Below are 18,416 nucleotides of genomic sequence, written 5' to 3' on the forward strand. Positions count from 1 at the left end.
CAAGGACAGGGGCTCTGATCTCAAGATTGGTCCTGTCTGCAAAGAGGGGTTTTTTCGCAATTCAAAGCTCTCTCTTCCATTATCTTATTTCCTCCTTGGCACAGCCCATGAGGAGTTAATTGAGAATCAGAGGAGGAAGCTGAGGCCAAGAGTGGTGAAAGCCTTTGCCACCCTTCCTGACTAGCTAGTAAATGGCTAAGCCAGAAGGGGAACCTAGGTGATTGGACACTCGACTATGGCCCCCTGCACTGCCTGCCATGGCCTGCATACGGCAAGGAGCCTCATCAAGACCAAGGCAAGAATGAGAAAGGAATACCTGCTTTCCCGCCATAGCTGGTGGGACCGATTCTGAATGCTAGGCTCTTTGTCCACAGTGGAAAAGGATCTTTCCAGCTAATGGCCTGCCAAGCTTCGAGGGGGTCTAGACCCCCAACCCTGAGCCTTGCACATCCCAAAAGGGGACTTTGAGAGACAGGGAGGGTGCATGGTGGACCAGAAACTCTCCAGAGTGGGAAATGAACAGGGCATTGGAACCCAGGGTGGAGAGTCCTTTCACCCTCAGATGCCGTCTCAGAGCAGGCCTGGCTGGCTTGCTGGAGGAACTCCAGGGAGGTGGAGTCTGTACCCTGATTTCCACAGAAATAATAGGTGTCCCCTTCCTGAGGCCTTGAGCCCCAAGATGAGGGCACGTTTTGCATTTTTTCTTAGAAATTCTTGAAGCCTTAACAAATTGTATCTATGTTGTTTCATGGAGATGATAGAATCACATTCTGGAAAGTTTAGAAAATAAATCAAAGGAAAAAAAACCTCATAGGAGTCCATCCCTCTGTGATCATGTGAGTGAAATGCAGTCATATTTTTGTTCATCTATTTGTTGTTTTTTGGGGGGGAGTGGAGCTGTAAACACAATATATGTATACTTTTTACATTCTCTATTTCCTATTTTACATTAATGTCACAGACATTTTCACATTCTGCTATGCTGTTTTCACAAGCACTGCTTTTAATGGCTACATAATATTCCACTTGAATAGTGGCTCAACAGCCAAGTTTGCTGGCTTCGCATGCACTCAAAATGCCATAGGTTCTAGGCCGCTTGGTGCTGCTCTAACCCACCTCCCTTGGACTGCTGTCCAGCCATGTGGGGAGGAGGTAGTGAGTGGATCAGGTGTGACAACTCTCACTCCTCTCTGCCCACCAGCAGCCCCTTCCATCGAGAGGCCCAAATAAGTGGAGTGGAGGCAGATAAGAGAAGGCTGGGGAAAGGAATATGACTTGAATAAACTATTCTGAGACCTAGATTCTGGTCCACAAACTTCCACTGTGATCTTGAACAGGTTAGTTTCCTTCCATCAATTCTCAGTTTTCCCATCAGTCAAATGGGCACATCTTATGGCTTGTGCCTTACTGGACTCGTCACATGAAGTAATGCATAGGAAACAAGTCGAGAAGCCAGCCAAAGGCGACAGTGAAGATCATCACTGACATTCTTCATAGTGGTGGCACTCAGACAGGCCATGTGGGACAGTGGAAATAGTCCTGGCTTCATGGCCTCTCTGCCAGTAACTACCCGTGTGAGGTCTTGGCCAAGCCTGAGTACTCCGCGACTTCACTGCCTATCTGCCAAGGGAGAGAATTGACTGGATTGCCCCTGCCTGCTCTAAAGCACTGTGCTTTCCTCGTGATGAGAAGAGCTTCTATTCCTATCACCTTTTTGCTTTTTCATTGGGAAGATAGCCACATGACCTTTAGGACTCAGTAGGCACGTGAACTTCCACTGGCCAGGTCATACCATGCAGTAGGTGGGAAGGGAGCAGTAATTGCCCCTGCCTGGCTAGTAGCCCACCCAGGGCATGGGCTAAACCTGGAAGCACAGACACAGGGCTCCTTGACCCCGAGCTCAAGGCTGGCATAAGTCTGGTGCTGCTGCTCTTGTTGGGCCACTGAGCGGGACATTCCCCCGGATGCTGCTGCTTCCTCCTGCTGTCCTTTCCTTGAAACATGCCTGGGTGTGCCGCTGTGTGCAGCTGAGCCCTCCAGGAAGTCCTCCCTGCCAGAGAAGGAGGGGGACAGTCACCCACGTTGGCCTCCCCTGACGACACTGTATCCCTTAGATCTAAGTGCTGGCCTCACTGCACCTAGGAAAGGAAGCGGCGGCTGCTGACTCAGCACCAGCCTGCAGGTGGAGAGGGGGTGGAGGAGCTCTCTGAGGCTGGGAGGAAGTGAGAATTCAGTGGACACCTGTCTCAAGGAAGGGCAGGAAGCGTTGGAACAGCTGCTGTGCCCCCTCTGAAGCTGAGTGGGAGGGAAGGGGTGGAGGCGCTCTCCATGTCTTCCCCCTTCTCCCCCCGCCCCCAGCTAGCTTGCTTAGCTCCAGCCTTCCTCCCCCATGCCACCCCCTCCTCAAAAGCTCAGGGGCCCCCTCCGGGCTGCCTGTGCCCGAGGACCACCCACCTCCTAGAACACCTGCTTCTACTCCTCAAATTCCCTCGAGCTAATGGGAGAATGTGCCCACTCCCACCCCCAGCGTGGAGACACTGGCCTTCCTTAAGCCGAAGGATGGCCCTTCCCCAGGGGACCTTGGCCTCCACAGGGGACCTCGGCATCCACAGTGGGCTCATTCCCTGGAGGGGCAGGCATGGACTCAGGGGAAGGGACCATACCTGCCCCCTCTGCCTGTGACGTTTGGGACTTCTGACCAGACCTGAAAAGTCAGATTCTGGGAAGGTGAGGGAGTGACAGTGGGGGACTTGGGCCCAAAGAACTGGTCCTCGCATGGCCCAGAGGTGTGTGTGTCCCCAACCTCTGTGCTGAGGAGAGAGACAGCGGAGGTAGCTGGGCCAGAGCCTTGGCTTGGTTCTGTCAGCACTCTCCAGAGTTCCTCATCTTGGACACCAGGGTGGTGGGCTGTGGCCCAGGCCTCCCCTCTGGTGGGCTCATGTCCCTCAGGACGGAGGGGGACATCAGACCTGTCTCCCTCCCTAAGGGCTGGGTCAGGAGGGAAGCTGAGCTTGGGAGGCAGCTCCTGCCTCGCTCCTTCTGGCCAAGCTGATGCTGAGGCTGCTTCGGGGCAGGGGTGCCTGGGATGCAGGGGTGCCTGCGATGCAGGGCTGCTGGCTGCCACCTGCCACGGAACCAGAGGGATAGGGCAGCAAGGGACAACTGGAAGGAAGTTTGCGCCCGCTGGAACCTGAAGAGTCCAGCCCTCTTCCTGCCAGGAGGAAAGGAACTAAAGGAGGGGGTGAGGGAAGAGAGGTCATCTGGGGTGAGGGGGCAGCAGCCAGCCCCCAGCTTGGTCTTCCCCGGGCAGGTGCGGTGGGAGTGTTGATTGAGGTGGGAGAGAAGGCCAGATGACAACCTGAGATGGCACAGTCCCATCCTGAAGGTCCCTGACAAGTCTCAGTTTCCCCCAGCAGAGAGGTGGTGGGAAGGAGGAGGGAGGCATCAGGTTCCCGCCTTCTCAGCTGGTGTCTCTCAGCCATCTCCTGGGTATTCCCTAAGTCAGGCCCCATCCCTGCACAGGTGCACCTGGGGAGCATCTGGCTGGGGGGTGGACTAGACGTGTGCGCAGCAGAGAGCAGAGTCTTGACTCCTAGGGCAAAACAGGGCTTGGGCCTGCTGCAGGATGGACACGGTTTCTAGTTTTACCTCTCAATTTGGGGAAAACATGAAGTTTATATTAAACTAAACAAGCAACTCTTCTACCTCTATTTGCAAATTTTACATAAACCTTTGAATGCAAATACAGAATTTGGTGACATTTCATTCAGGCAGGTCAGTCCAGGCTGTGCCCCGACTCCCGGGGTGGCTATACACTCCTCTGGCATTTGGGTCCATCCAGGGGTGAGTGAGAGTAATTCTTCAGGGTCACCCCAAGGCCTCATCTTCCCAGAGCTTGGGGACCCAAGTTGTTCAGTGGCTGGAGAGTCAGAGCTGGCTCTTGGAGCTCTAGTCAGGATTGGAACTCGGTTTCTCGACTCTGAGGGCTGGTGGACGTTTTGTGTTTTGACTCAATGCCATTTGTAAGTGGCACGAGCTATGGCAGCCATGGGGTGCTGTGTGGGATGCATGACTGGGTGAGGCTTGAGGACAGCTTGGGTTTAACTGGGCAGAGAGAGAAGGGATGGCATTTCAACATGGTGGCAGATCCTCAAGTGTGCCAGGCCTAGGAACCAGAGCCTGAGAGGGGAGGCCAGGAGACGGAGAGAACCCCACCAGTGGGTGGGAAGGGGATCTTCTGAGGGGGGCACAGGACTCTTTATTGTGGTAAAACATACACAGCATAAAGTCTGCTGTTTCAACCATTTAAAAGTGTACTACAATTCAGTGGCATTACGTACATTCACAGTACTGTGCGAACATCACTACTTTCTATTTCCAAAACTTTTAAATCACCCGAAACAGAAACTAAGAGCTCCCTTGGGTTTAGGGCCTCCTCCCAGGCAGGTTAAGGGCTGTGTTTGCTGGGACTTCTTGGGGGCCGAGGGGATGGGAAACTAAGCTGTAGCAAAGAATACACAGATTTTGCCATCAGGCAGTCTTTAGCTTGACCACCTACCAGCTGCGGGACTTTGGCCCTCTCTGAGCCTCAGTCTCTTCTAAAAAAATGGAAATAATTGATGTAAATACCAGTGTCACAGAGTGGTGAGGATGAAAGAGAGTTCTCACTCATATAAAGTACGAGACACCCGAAATCCTGGGAAGTGTTTAGAAAAGATGGCCATTTCCCAACTCCCACCACACACCCCACTTCCCCCATGCAAACACACCTCTGCTTGTTCAGGCCTGGGACAGTTTTAGGGGTCTTAGGGGAGTGCAAAGCAGGCCCTTGGGCAGTCAGGGAAGGGCTGGGCATATTTCAGCTTAATTGTGTAAGCAGTTACTGAGAACCTGCTTTGGCACAGACAGCCTGTGACCTGTAGCCTAACTGGGGAGACCCCCGAACACTCCTGATGTGGGTGGAGAATGGGCAACAAGAATGGCCAAACAGTGGTCATGCTGGCCAGAAAGTGTGGCCTAGCAGGGAGATATCTTAGCGCACGGGATGGGGAGAGGTCACTGAGGCCTGGAGAAAATCAGGAGGGCCTCCCGGAGGAGGCAGGACTGGAGCTGTTCCCCGAGGAGGAAGAGCTGTAGCTCTGCTGCCTTGGGGAGTGATCGGGTCAGCCCTGCTCCCTGCGCCTCTCCCATGTAGGCCCAGATCTGATCCAAGAGGTAAATGTCAGAGTCCTGTGGCTGTCACCCTCGTCTGAATTTTCTTTTTCTTTTCTGGAGCATCGGGCCCTCTCATTTCATTGTCATCCCTCCCATTCCAGTCTCCATCCTCCCTGCCATCCCCTGGCCCTGGCCATCCTGCTGAAATTCTCTGCCTCCTCTCCTGCCCCTCTGCCCAGCCGAGCTGCCTGAGTGCTCCAATGGGTCATCGTGCCGCCCCTGGAAAGAGAGTCACGTGGAGGGGTCGCTGCTCGAGGGAGCTGGGGGCTTCGTGTCCTCCCTCTGAAGCGGGCAACCCTCTTGGGGCACTGGTTCTGCTCTTTGCAGAAAAGGGTACTCATTCTTACCTGCCAGGTGAGTTTAATCCTCATCTGGATTAAACGAGACGGTGGATGTAATGTACCCACCGTGAGTGGCTCCTGGCACAGAGTAGGGGCTACACTAATTGTTCTATATGGCTATCTGCTAGGGAGTTGCCATGCACAGAGTCCCCCTGCCTGCTCCTAGGAGGCACTTTGAATTTTATAAGGGAAATAAAAGGAAGGGGGAAACTGAGCCTCAGTGTTCTTATCTGTAAAATGGGAATAATTACAGCAAGTCCCCCGGCAGGGTGATAGTGAGGCTCAGATTTGATCATGGATTTGTTCAGCTCATCTAACACATACCCACTGAGCACCTGTGTTGGACCAGGCCCCGTGCAGGCATGGGGGACACAAGGATAATAATAATAACCATAAGGGCAGTAGCAGATGCTCACGTAGCACTTACTCTGTGCCAGGCACCCTCCTAAGCACTTTGCCTGCCTTAAAAATACTGAACCTCGTGGGAAACAGACAGACGCAGGAACAGCATGGCCCTAAGGTATGTGCTGGGTGTTCTCTTAGCCTGCGGCAGACATCCTGGGGAGGGCAATGCCTGGGGGAGCTGATGCCTGGGTGAGTCTTAAAGGAACTGGTTGCCCAGGAAGGGGTGGGGTGAGGGCGTTGTGGGCCAAGGGGCTGGGGGGGGTGAGGGGAGGGGAAGGGCAGGCTGAGAAGGAGAGTCATGCAGAGGGGTCACTGGGACAGGGAGCTGGGGGACTGATGGCATGCAGGGAAGCTAAGGCTTTGTTGGCCCTCCTGGTCAACATGGCAGCTTTGCCTATTGGCCAGCGTTGCTGGTGGTTGATTGTCTTTTGTCAAGAATAAAGTGCACAGAACCTCTGTGTGTCCTGAGCTAAGGGCTGAGGGTACAAGAAAGTGAGGTAGGAGTTTCAACAAACCCTGGTGAAGAAATGCTGGGACAGTTACCTCCACAGGAAGAGGTACCATGGGCTACTGCTGGGAGGGTGGGAAACTTCAGAGAAAAGAGCAGAGTGGTGTGGTATCTGGGAGACCTCCTGGAAGACACAGGGGTGGGACTGATCCTTGAAGTAGGGGCTTAGGGCAGCATTTTCCACAGTGTCCAAGCAAGCACTGGGGCCTCTTGAGCTGTTAAAAGTTGTTTCTGCAGAAAGGTTACATATTCCAACAATTTGGAAATACTACACACTATATCCCAGTCTTGGAGAGTCGGTGTGCGTATTAGCAAATTAAAGTCCCTGGTAAGTCCTGCAACCAAGAGAGCCCTTTGGTTTTGCTTTAGCAGCATTTCCCAAAACTATCTGACCACAGAACTCTCTCTCTCTCTTTCTGTGTGTGTGTGTGTGTGTGTGTGTGTGTGTGTGTGTGTGTGTGTGTGATTTCTAGAAGCATACCTTGAACTTGGTTGCATGGAGCACAGTTTGGGAATGCTAGCCTGGGAACTGGGTCATCTAGCTCAAGACTGGCCAGAAGCAACTCCCTTATACTGTGGAGGTAGGGAGACTGAGAAAAAGGCCATAAAAGGGAACTCATGGATTGGTGACTGCCTGAATTACTTCCCACCATAGTCTTCATCCCAGAGTGCCATCTTTTCCCACTATCTTAGCACATTTGGACTGCAGTAACAAAATGCCATAGACTGGGTGGCTTATAAATAACAGAAGTTTGTTTCCCGGTGTACTGGAGGCTGGGAATCCAAGCTCAAGGTGCCAGCAGGTTTGTTGCGGGTGAGGGTCCACTTCCTAGATGGCTGTTTTTTTGCTGTAACCTTGCATGGCAGATGGTGAGAGGGACTCCTCTGGGGCCTCTTTTATAACGGCACTAATTCCATTCATGAGCGCTTCACTCTTGGAATCGAATCACTTCTCGAAGACCCCATCTTTTAACACCATCATCTTGGGGGTTAAGATTCAACATATAAATTTTGAGAGGACACAAACATTCAAGTCATAGCACCTACTCTAGAGAACTCTAGAGGGAGGTCAGCGGTGAGCTGGCCTCTCATTCCCAGTGGCATTTTTGCTGGCCAGCCAGGGGAAGCTGCCAGTGGTCACAGTTCTGGAGTGGGCTCTTGGCCACTGGGGGTGCTTGCCTTGTGCCAAAGCCCTATTCAGCTTAGGGCCTTCCTTCCCACCTTCTGTCTTACATTTTTGACCTTGTCCAGATTCCTTGAAGTGGAGTTTCTTGCCTATCTAGTTGGGCACCCCTTGCCCAGTAACCCACAGCTACATTTGACACGCTGCACACGATCCACCCAGCACCTGATGCTCACATCATCGTGCACCCAGATGGTCACCCTGACACATGCCCATCCCTCTATGGGCCCCATGCAATATGCATTTACACATTCATCCACAGTTCACATACAGTTATAACAGCAGCACGCATTCATTTACACGTACGTATCTGTATTAGATGAGAATATACAGTACATATACACACCCATGTTCCACATGCCAATACATGCACAGACTCATACCACTCACCACTCACATACATGTACACACATGCATACCCCATGATACATACCCAGAGAAATACAGGCTTAAATGTTTCCAGAAGGTACTGCCTTCCCCTTCTTTTCTCTGACATGTCACCTGTGCCCCTATGAAGCCCCTACCCCACCATCGCTGAATTCAAACAATATTTCAACAGGAGATGCAGGCCTTATCTAGGAAAACACCATGCGTATGCGTGTGTCCACATCTGCAGGCCAGCCGCAGAGCCTGGGCCTTTGATACCAGGCCACATTTGGTGTGCTCCCCACTATGATGGAGAAAACAATCATCACAAAGCTCTGTTTGGATGCCATGTGGCCTGGGAGGGCTTCCTGGAGGCGTTGAGTCTTCAGCTGGGATGGAAGCGTGAGGTCCATGTCAGTAGAGCATGAGAGAAGGGAGCGCTGAGGTATGGGGGTCACACGAGGGGTGTCAAGAGGGGCAAGCATGGTCAGGAGCGCCCCCAACCCCAAGAACCCCTGCAGCAGTTACAGCAACATTTGGGTAGAGGTGGAGGAAGAAGCAGCAGGGCCAGGAAATGGCCAGAAGCTCTCTGCTGGCGTTCCTCCTGCCACGCTCGGTGGTGGCACTGACACCTGGCTGAGGTCACCAGTAGCTGAGAGACTCCTTAGCTAGTGCTCAGCTGTCACACTGGGGGAATGAAAGAGATCATATGATACTAATGTCACTGTTCTGCTTTATAAAGTGTCCTAACAAGCTGGCGAGCCAGGCACACTCAGTCTTATTTACGGCCAATATTATATCTCTGACATAGAGATTAATTTGACGATAGCTGTTTATAAGCTCTTTCATCATCAGATGGGCCCATTACCTGGGAGGAGAAGAGGGCCGGGTTTAATTTGTGAACAGTGTGCTGAGTCCCTCTGCCCCTGGCGTGTGTGCAGGAGGTGCAGCCATAAATCATGGCAGACGCCAGCAGCGCTGAGACCAGAGGGCTGGGAGCTGCCCTAGCGGGCAGACCCCAGAGCTCACGTGTGGCAGAGGGGCTCCCTGGCAGGTATGCCAGTCTGCAGAGCCCGGGAGGGAGGCAGGGATGCACAATCTTCTTTGCTGGGAGGAGGCCCTGGAAGATCACCCTGCCAAGGAGCTTCCCACTGGAGTCGACACTAAATTAGAATCATCTGGAAGCTTGTTAAAATACAGATGACCTAGCCCTACAGAGTCACCACCTCTGTGAGTGGAGCTCGGGACTTCCCTCCAGTCTGAAGTTTGAGGGCTGGGGGCAGGGATGGGCTGTGAGATGGGCTGGAGCAGTTCCCTCCAGGTGCCCCTAGTTCCAAGCAAAGGCGTCCCTTCCGTGGATATCTGAGCAGAAAAAGACAAGATCAAGAGCTGGCAAATAATAGACCTGGAGCAAAAAGCTAAAGAGATTGGGTCCTTGAGCCAAATGGTAAGGTTTGCTAAGGCTGTCTCCTTGCACCTGCAGAGCCGCCCTGCCATTGTCCTCCCTCAGCAGCCCAGCCCCTTCCTGCTAAGCCCAGCCCCTTCCTGCTAAGCAGGACAGAAATATCCGCTCATGAGGGGCACATCAGGGGCTTTATAGGCATCATCTCTTTGTCCTCTGATGTTGATCTTTGAGTTACTTTTTTATGAAACCCCACTGAAAGATAACTTAGACAGTTCTCAGTTACATCGCCTGGAAACAGAGGCCTAGGTTTAAGTCCAGCTTGGACCCCAAGCTCATGCTCTTTCCATGACCTGAGGCAGTGTCCCACCGTGGCGGCAGGGCCTGGCTACGTCAATCCACTGCGCACAAACATTGCAGCCTCAGCAAACGGTAAATCTATTGGTGTGTGTTGGGATGGGATACCAAGAATGTGAGGTGATAAAGAGGTCCTCCTGCACCGTGCATCTACGCAGTTTTTCTCCTAGGGGTGGGTATATTTCCTGGGAGCCTCTGGAGTGAATAGCCTTCAGAATGCAATGGAGTCTTCCTGCCCTGGTGGCCTGGCAGACCCTGTCACTCCCAGGATGGCAGCCCTGTCCTCTACCTCCCAGGCCTTGACCTTCCTTTCCCCACCATTGGCCCTGGACAGCCTTTGCAGGGCTCTGCTGGAGACATTTGGGAACCCTCCAGGCTCCCCTCCTCCTTGGGGGCCTTGGGTCCTATCCAGGAGGTTCACCTTGATGAACTCCAGCTGGTCAAAGCCCAGAAAATGGGAAGGCAGCCAGTATGGACTCCATCAGACTCTTTCCCCACCTAGAATCTACACTTTTGTTAATGTAGCCTCAGTTTGCACTGGCTATATTGGGTACACATCATCCTGTCCCAAGCTTATTTCATGTGGACCAGAGCTCCCAAATCTGATAACACCTGCTATGGAGACTCTCATGTCCCAGCCTAGTGGAGTAGGTTTATTGGGTCAGATGTAAGTTTGGCTGTGGTAACAGAGATCCAAAATAAAGGTGGCTTAAAGGGATAGCAACTCTCAGAACAGCCTAGAGTGGTGCTCAATATCAAGGACTCAGGTGCCTTCTCTCTTGTTGCTCCACCCTCCCTAGGATATGGCCCTTTTCTGCATGGTCCAGGATGGTTCACACCTTTATCCACTTTCCAAGCATCAAGATGGAGGAAGAAGGGAAAGGTTAGAAAGAGCATGACACAGCACTGCACAAGCCACCCCCACTCACACCCCATTGGCTAAACTGGGTCACGTAACCACCCTTAGCTGTAAAGGAAGCTGGGAAGTCTTATATACTGAAGGCCATGTGCCCAGCTGAATTTAGGGGTTGCATTACCGTAGAAGGAGAGAACAGATAATGGGGGGAGCACTCAGTTGGTCATCTCTGCCTCAGTTGGTGCTTAGAACCCACACGTCAGGTCTTACATTGATCCTGGGTGGAGCTCCTCCTTTGTCTACCCTTCTTGCATTAGTGGCACTGTGGGTGGGACTAGCATGCCCTCCATGGCTTCACCCAAATAGGCAAAGACATCCCCAAGGTAGGAAGTGAGAAGCCATCCTCCAAGTTGGTGTCAAACCACCGGCCTGTGGCGATTGGATGTGATTACTCATCTCATTACAAATCTTCCTGTCTCATGACTAGCTTGCATTTTCCATCTTATCCAAAAGACTATAGTAGAATGTTAGATCTAAAAATGAGATGATGTCTGTGAAGTGCTCAGCCCAGGGTGTGGTGGACAGTAGACACTGAATGAAAGCTGCACATCCTTGGGCAAAATATTTAACCTCTTGGTGCCTCACTTTTCTCATCTGAGAGACGGGGATGTCATCGTGACCTCCTCCATGGATTGTTGGGGAGATTCAGCCAGAGTCCATGGAAAGCACCAGGTGCAATGTCTGGGCCGTGAGTCAGGCTGCTAGGTGAGAGCAAGGGTCTGTGACCTCTTGACAGGGTTGCTGTGGGAGTGAAAATCTGTGTAGCTTTTAGCACAGGTGCCTGGCAGGTCGTAGGCACTCAATGAATGCTAGTTTGCTCCCCGTCCGCTACCCCACTGTCACTGGTAAGGGATGTTACCTAAAAACCCTTAATCCCACTCCATCCCTCTACAAATGGAAGTGTGTGGGAGGACTCTGAAAGTCAGAGAGTGGGAGTGACGGGGCCCTGGAGACGCATGCTGCTGGTAGGCAGGGGGCCAGGACTCTGGCTCCTTCCCACAGCGTTGTGGCCCCCTCCCATGCTGCTGCCTCGGATCCTTGATCTGAGAAGGGAAAGGAAACGGGCCCTCCAGAAGAGATAACCAGATACAGACAGCCCATGTCAAGGACCCAGAGACCTGGAGTTGGGAGATGGAGTAGCGGGGCCTTGTGGTGGGGTGGCCTGGCTGGGCCCTAGGTCACTCTGCCTCCCATTCACCAAGACCCAGCTCTAAGGGTTTTATTGGAAGCCTGGAAAGGACCCCAAAGATATTTAGCTCACCCCCTCATTTTACGGGGACTTGGCCAAGATCATTCAGCTGGGGAGAAGACAAGCTCCCCACATCTCAGTCTCCACTCTCACTCTAAACCAGGAAGGCAGGAGCCACAACGTTCACCAGGCTCCCCAATTCTCTCCTCTTCCTTTTGCCCAAATTTATGAATTGTTTCATTTCTTCCCACACTGCAGTCCCTATGTCCAGCGAAGGCCCAGGGAAGGGCATGTATGTTAGCAGAGATGCCAGCACCAGAGACAGGGGACACCTCTTGAAGGAGGTAGCTGTGATGTAGGGGAGCTTTGCTAGGCCAGGGATTGGGGGTCTGGGCTCAGCTCTACAAGTGTGGGCAGAATTGGACACACCTCCCAGCATTAGAGTGATTAACTGATGCAGGTTTGTACACTGCCAGGGCCCATGCACACACTCAGGCTGTAATGATGGGGGGTCCTCATGCACGAAGTGCAGGATTGGAGAACACATGATCAGGGCCCATAGGCGCCCAAACCCAGTAGTGCTGCTGACAAGATGGAGTTCTCAGCTCCCTTAGAGGCCGAACTTGAGAAACCTTTACAAGAGACTTGAGAGCTGGTTAGAATATCTCCAGGGTCTCTGCCCGATCCTCTCTAGAGTTTTCAAAGACTGTACCTTCCCTGCCAGCCACAGCATCAGCACCATGCTAAGATGCATGCGCTTTCACATTTCACATCTTGGAAACTGGGATGCGCCTTATAAATGACAGTTTGTCCTAGTTTAATTGCCTCTTAAAAATCTTTTAGTGGTTCATAAAGCGATGGTCCACTGTGCAATAGATGGCCTTTTAGGGCTGCTGACATTTGACATTCATTTTGTGTGTGCTCCATACACAAAGCTTTGGGGCCTATAAGTAAATCTATTGACTCTTTAAAGACAAACATCAGTGCCAAGTTTGTGATTTATGAGACCTAGATTTCTTTTTCACCATAGACACACTCCTTCATTTTGCTTTTAATATATACATATTTTTTGAGACTGAGTCTCACTCTGTCACCCAGGCTGGAGTGCAGTGGTACAATCTCAGCTCACTGCAGCCTCCACCTCCCAGGTTCAAGCAATTATCTTGCCTTAGCCTCCGGAGTAGCTAGGACTACGGGAACATGCCACCATGCCTGGCTAATTTTTGTTTTTTTTTTAGTAGAGACAGGGTTTCACCATGTTGGCCAGGTTGGTCTGGAACTCCTGACCTCAGGTTATCCACCCACTTCGGCATCCCAAAGTGCTGAGATTACAAGCATGAGCCACCGGGCCCGGCCTGTTTTAATATTTTTTTTTAACATGGCAGCTCACACCCAAGAACTGAGGATGAACATATCTGAGGGGAGCAGTGGTCCCGAGGTCCCTCTGAAGAGGACCAGCCTGGTTCTCTCTCAGGGCCTCGGGCTCCTCACTGGTTCTATGGGATGAGGATTCTCCTTCTGCCTCATTCTCTAGGCTCTGGTGAGGATCACAGGAGATCCTTGCTGTCTGAAAGCCTTGGAAAGGACAGAAGTGCCCCAGTCTAATATTCTAGAAAAAACACTGACTTTCTCAATGTTCCTTCCCTCCCCAAACCAGCGGTCCCAGCTCCCATCTGTGCCTATCTGAGGACCGCCTATTTTTCCAGACACTTGGGGACCTCCAGGAATGCTGGCCTCTCCTTCTCTTCTTGCTCCTCCAGCAGCCACAATCTCTAAGTGCCCCTGGCTGCCCCTGAACTCAGTGCCTGCCTGGCTTCCTGGCAGAGCTGTGGCTCCCCTCTATCTCTCCACCCATCATGTGCACACATGCCCCCTCAAGACCTTCTCCAAACCCAGCTTTGCACATGATCCAAAGCCTTGCATGGCACCCCTGTGCCTGGAGGACCCTTAAATATCCAGTATGGCCCTGCCATGTTGGGTATGTGACTGCCGTGGATGATGACGACAATGGTGATGATGATGATGATGATGATGCAGATGGGCCTCTGTAGTGGGCGGAGGCATGGCTGAGGGATGGGGCTGCTGGGCCAAGCCACCCGTCTGGTCCTTGGCAGCATTCCCGTGGCCCTCAGCCCTCGGCCAGGACGAACTTGGCTCCATGCAGGCCCCTGGCCCAAATCTCCACCTTTCTTCCCTTATTCTCTCCTTTATTGACTACTGAAGTATTAATTAAGCCCTCACTCTGTGATATGCAGAAGCTGAAAAACAAATTGCCTTATTGTCCATTTATTCATTCATTCTGCAAATGTCAATCCGTGACCAGCCGACCCTGTTCCAGGTGTGTTCTAGGTGCGGAGGATGCAGCATTGAACAATCACCTGATTTTAAGAAGCTTGCATTCTAGTGGGGAAGGCAGACAGCAAACAAGCAGGCCAATAGGTAGCACATCAGAGGTGACATGTGCCATGGTGCAAAATAGCGCAGGGTCAAAGGGTGGTGATGCTGGAGTGGGGGTGGGGAGGTGCTTATTTTATGCCTGGCACTCAGAAAGAGCCTTGCTGTCAGTGTGATATTTACCAGAGCCCTGAGCCTGAGGGCAGAGAGAGAGGGAGCCCTGCAGATCCCAGGGGTTGATTCTTGCCTCTGTTGTCCTGGGCAGGCACGGAATGCGTACTTCTTGCCTCCAGATCAGGGACTAACTACTCACTCTGAACACACAGAAGGGAGTATTCAGATTCCATCATGGGTTCCCACATGTCCAGCCCCAGACACAGGCAGCTGAAGGTTGAGAGGGTGCCTGGGGCTTAGCACCCTCTCCCAGGGCTCCACCTCCCCAAAGCCCTTCTGATGGCGTTGTCATCTGCTCCTTCCACCGTGTCACCTCTTCTCCCCGCAGCTTCCTGCCTCAATTCTAGATGTTGGTCTTATTCAGGCATGGTGCAAGAGACAGAGGCTTTACATTCAGGGAAAACGGAAACTCCAGAGGTTAAAAGGCTTCCTCTGGAACCAGATGGAGCCCCGGCTGGAAAGGCGTGATCTGTGCCCTGCATTGCAATGCTGAGTTCAGGTGGGGGACAAGTGGCTTTGTCCAACTCCCACACCTGTCATTTGGGCTACCTGAGGAGCTTGCAAAATCCACATTCCCAGGCCCTACACCAGATCTACCTTTCTGAGGTAGGAATCTGTATTCTTATGTGTTTGCGAATTTCAAGTATGAACTCGTTGTTTTATCATTAAAGAGGACAGAATGCACATAGGAAAAATATAAACAATATGAAGGACTCCTCGCTGAATAGTAAGTTTCTCTCCTGTTCCTCCCACCTCACCCTTGCTACCCAGGTCTCTTCCCCAGTGGTAACAGTGGTCAGTACCCAGCATTTATTAAGTAACAAGCACTGCTCTAGCCACGGCCTAGACTGTAGTGAACAGAGCCCAGGTGGTCCCTGCCTTTGTGGAGCTTAGAATCTAGTGGAGGTAACTGAGAGTAAGCAAATGATCCACAAGTCAATATGAAATTGTGAAAAGTGCTGAGGATCAGAAATAAAGAACAGGGTGTCAGGCAAGAAAACAGCAGTGTGGCCTGATTTTGGTGGGCTGTGCTGGCAGAGGTGGAGGTGGGATGAGAATTTCTTGAACTCCTTTGCAGAATCCCAGGTGATTGTGAAGGAACCACTGGGGGTCTCAGGACCCTTGGTCAGGCCACCAGTCCCTCTCTATCATCTCTTTCTGTGGGGCACTGGGCTCGAGGCCTGGGGCACAGAGGACAGCAAGATGCCTCCAGATGCCTGGGAGTCACCCTCCAGTTAGGGAGGCAGGAATTGCCTCCGATGAGGGGTCTGTTGGCTTCTGTGGCTGCTGTGACAAAATAGCACACGCTGGGTGGCTTTAGACAACAGAAGTGTTCTCTGACAGTGCTGGAGGCTAGAAGGCTGCAATCAAGCTGTCCGCGGGGCCAGCCGTCTCCTCTGAAGGCACCAGGGAAGATTCCTTCCTCATCTCTCCTCTCTTCTGGGGGTTGCTGGCAGTCACAGTCCTTGGGGCTCCCTGGCTTGTAGCCGCATCACTCCAGTCTCCGCCTCTGTTGTCACAGTGTCTCAGTGTCTCCACATGGCCTATCATGACATTGTATTAGGGCCACACTCATCCAGTATGACCTCATCTGAACTTGATCACATCTTCAAAGACCCTGTTTCCAAATAAGGTCACACTCACAGGTACTGGGGATTAGGACATCAACCTATCTTTTCAGGGGGCACAACTCAAACCACAGCTAGGATGAGTCATGCAGGCCTCATGAGCTGGACCCCCTGTGAGGGCTGCAAGCGTTCAGAGAAAAGGGCATGTTTTGCGCAGGCTGGGGTGGACAGGGCAGTGGGCTCCAGGAAGGGGAGGCCTCCCTGTCTGAGAGAATCCAGGTACATGGGGAGCAGGGCCTAGTGTGAGGAAGTGAACGAGTGAAGGACAGCAGAGGCAGGAATGTACACAGCACACCCAGCCATAGGACAGGATCTGCGGACCTCAGAGCTGCCCTCTGGGACTGGGAATCACGTAAAATGAGGCCACGGCAATTTTGAAGCCTGAAGCGTACCCGAAAGGTAACCCACTTGCTCCTCCCCTGAAGGAAGCTGTGGGGCTCTGGAGTGGCCTCAGCCTCCCTCTGTGACCTTCCTCAACTCCTGCAGCTCTGGCCTTCAGGTGTGGTGGCTGTGGAGAAAGGAGGGGTGACTGTCACCTAGGCTCGTAGAATGAGCTGATCCCTCTCTCCAAAGCCCAGAGCCTCCGGCCCTTACTGACAGGTTCCAGACCCCCAGGAACACCCCTTCCTCTCCTTCTTGTCCCTACACTGACCAGCTTCTCACCCCTTCCTTCTCACATGCTCAGGGAGAAACCCATGGGCAGAGTGACACACGCCTTGGTCATCACTGTGTCCCGGTGCCTAGAGGAGGGCCTGCTCAGAGCAGCCTCACAAGAAATGTGCTTTTGACTTAAAGACCACAGTGAGAGGAGAGACTCTCTCAGTCACACCCCCGGACTCTTGTCCCCACAGAGCCCCAGGTCCCCTACCCCTTTGTCCATGCCACTGTGTGGGTCAGGAGAGCTAGGCTCGAGTCCTGACACTGAGCAGACACAAAGCTTGGGCAAGTCACTTCCCCCTCCCAGGACTCAGTTGTCCTCCCCGTAAAAGGAGAGGCAGTAACATCCACTTCCTTCATAGGGCTCCCATGAGAGGAAGACGTTAGAAGCTAGAACAATGCAATTCAATTCAGTCTGACAATCTGAGTTTCCACATGGCAATTTCTGCATGATGCCAGGCCCAGGGGTTCAGGGTGGGCCAGGTGGGCTGTTCCCTGCCTGTGGGGTTATGGTCTGTCTGCTGGGAGAGAGGGATCTTATGTAAGCAGTTCACAAAACGATGAACGTGACAAAGGGAGTGTGCAGGCAGCTGTGGGGAGGCACAGCTGGGATTTCAGCTGGTTCCAGGGTCAGGCAAAGGCCTCCTGAGCAGGTGGCACATGGAGGGGACCTGACCACTGATGAGCAGTTAGCCAGGTAGAAAAAAGGGTTCTCAGCAGAGGGAGTAGCATCTTAGAGGCCAGGGCTCATGGCTTGTCCTGGGAATAGCAAGCTGACTGGTGGGGCTGGAGATAGAGAGCCAAGAGAATGTAAGAACTGAGGCCTGAGAGCCATGGACTCCACCTGAAAGCCCATGTATGAGCTAGGATTCTGTTTTGTTTAAAATCTGCAGTTTATTTCTGTCACATGTTCAGGAAGAGGTCTGGAGGTAGCAATCCAGGGCTGGTGTGGTGCCCCTCAGTGGCAAAGACCCAGGCTCCTTCTACTTATTGCTCTGCCATTCACAACTTCCCTTTTCAAAGTCATACATGGCCCAAGATGGCTGCTAACTCTCCAGCCCTTGAGTCTGCATTCCAGCCAGAGGATGGGATGGGAGTGCCTTATGAAACTAAGGCACTTCCTAGAAATTGCACGTGACATTTTCACTTAAATCTGAATGGACAGATTTTAGTCACAGGATCACACTTAGCTGCAAGGGAACCTGGAAAAGGATCTTTATTCCAGATATCCATGTGTCAGCTAAGAATGGGAGGAAGAAGGATATTGGGAGACATCTCAAGGTCTCTACCATAGTCATCATGTCCAGTGTTTCAGTTGATGAGGAGCACTCTAGGTCCAGAATACCCTGAGACGCATCACAAGTCCATGCAATGGCCCCATTGAAGGTCCTCCAGCTCACTCCTCCAAACAGAGCTGTCCTCTCTCCTGGCAGTGTGGTTCATTCAAGGGCTTCCTCCTCTCCCGCATGGGGCCCTCAGTCTCCACCAAGGGTGCTGATGGTGTTGGAGGTCTTCACTCCTGCTGCTGGGCACAGAGGCGGGGTATCATGTGTTTGTGGCCAGCCATGGAGGAACACAGAGGGTGCTCCCCTGCAACAGTGCAGGTGCTCCCCACAATGGTGCTCAAAATTGGAGGGTAGGCCCTGCTGGACAAGCAGTTTTACTGCCTCTGTGGGCTATCC

The 18,416-nt window shown here is 52.4% G+C and overlaps 1 protein-coding gene across 4 annotated transcripts in view, besides 1 other annotated feature; it reads left to right on the forward strand.

The window, feature by feature from the left end:
* The window catches only part of ARK2C (arkadia (RNF111) C-terminal like ring finger ubiquitin ligase 2C), a 129,123-nt gene that overhangs the window by 7,998 nt on the left and 102,709 nt on the right, over positions 1–18,416 (forward strand). The gene's annotated exons all lie outside the window — the stretch shown is intronic.
* Positions 1,892–2,071: an enhancer, noted in NCBI's record as "active region_13279". NCBI's record gives its function as "activates an Ori minimal core promoter by ATAC-STARR-seq in GM12878 lymphoblastoid cells {active_cell/tissue: GM12878}" and the evidence as "EXISTENCE:reporter gene assay evidence [ECO:0000049][PMID:35858748]".

Source organism: Homo sapiens, chromosome 18 (assembly GCF_000001405.40).
Source record: "Homo sapiens chromosome 18, GRCh38.p14 Primary Assembly".
Classification (NCBI taxonomy): domain Eukaryota; kingdom Metazoa; phylum Chordata; class Mammalia; order Primates; family Hominidae; genus Homo; species Homo sapiens.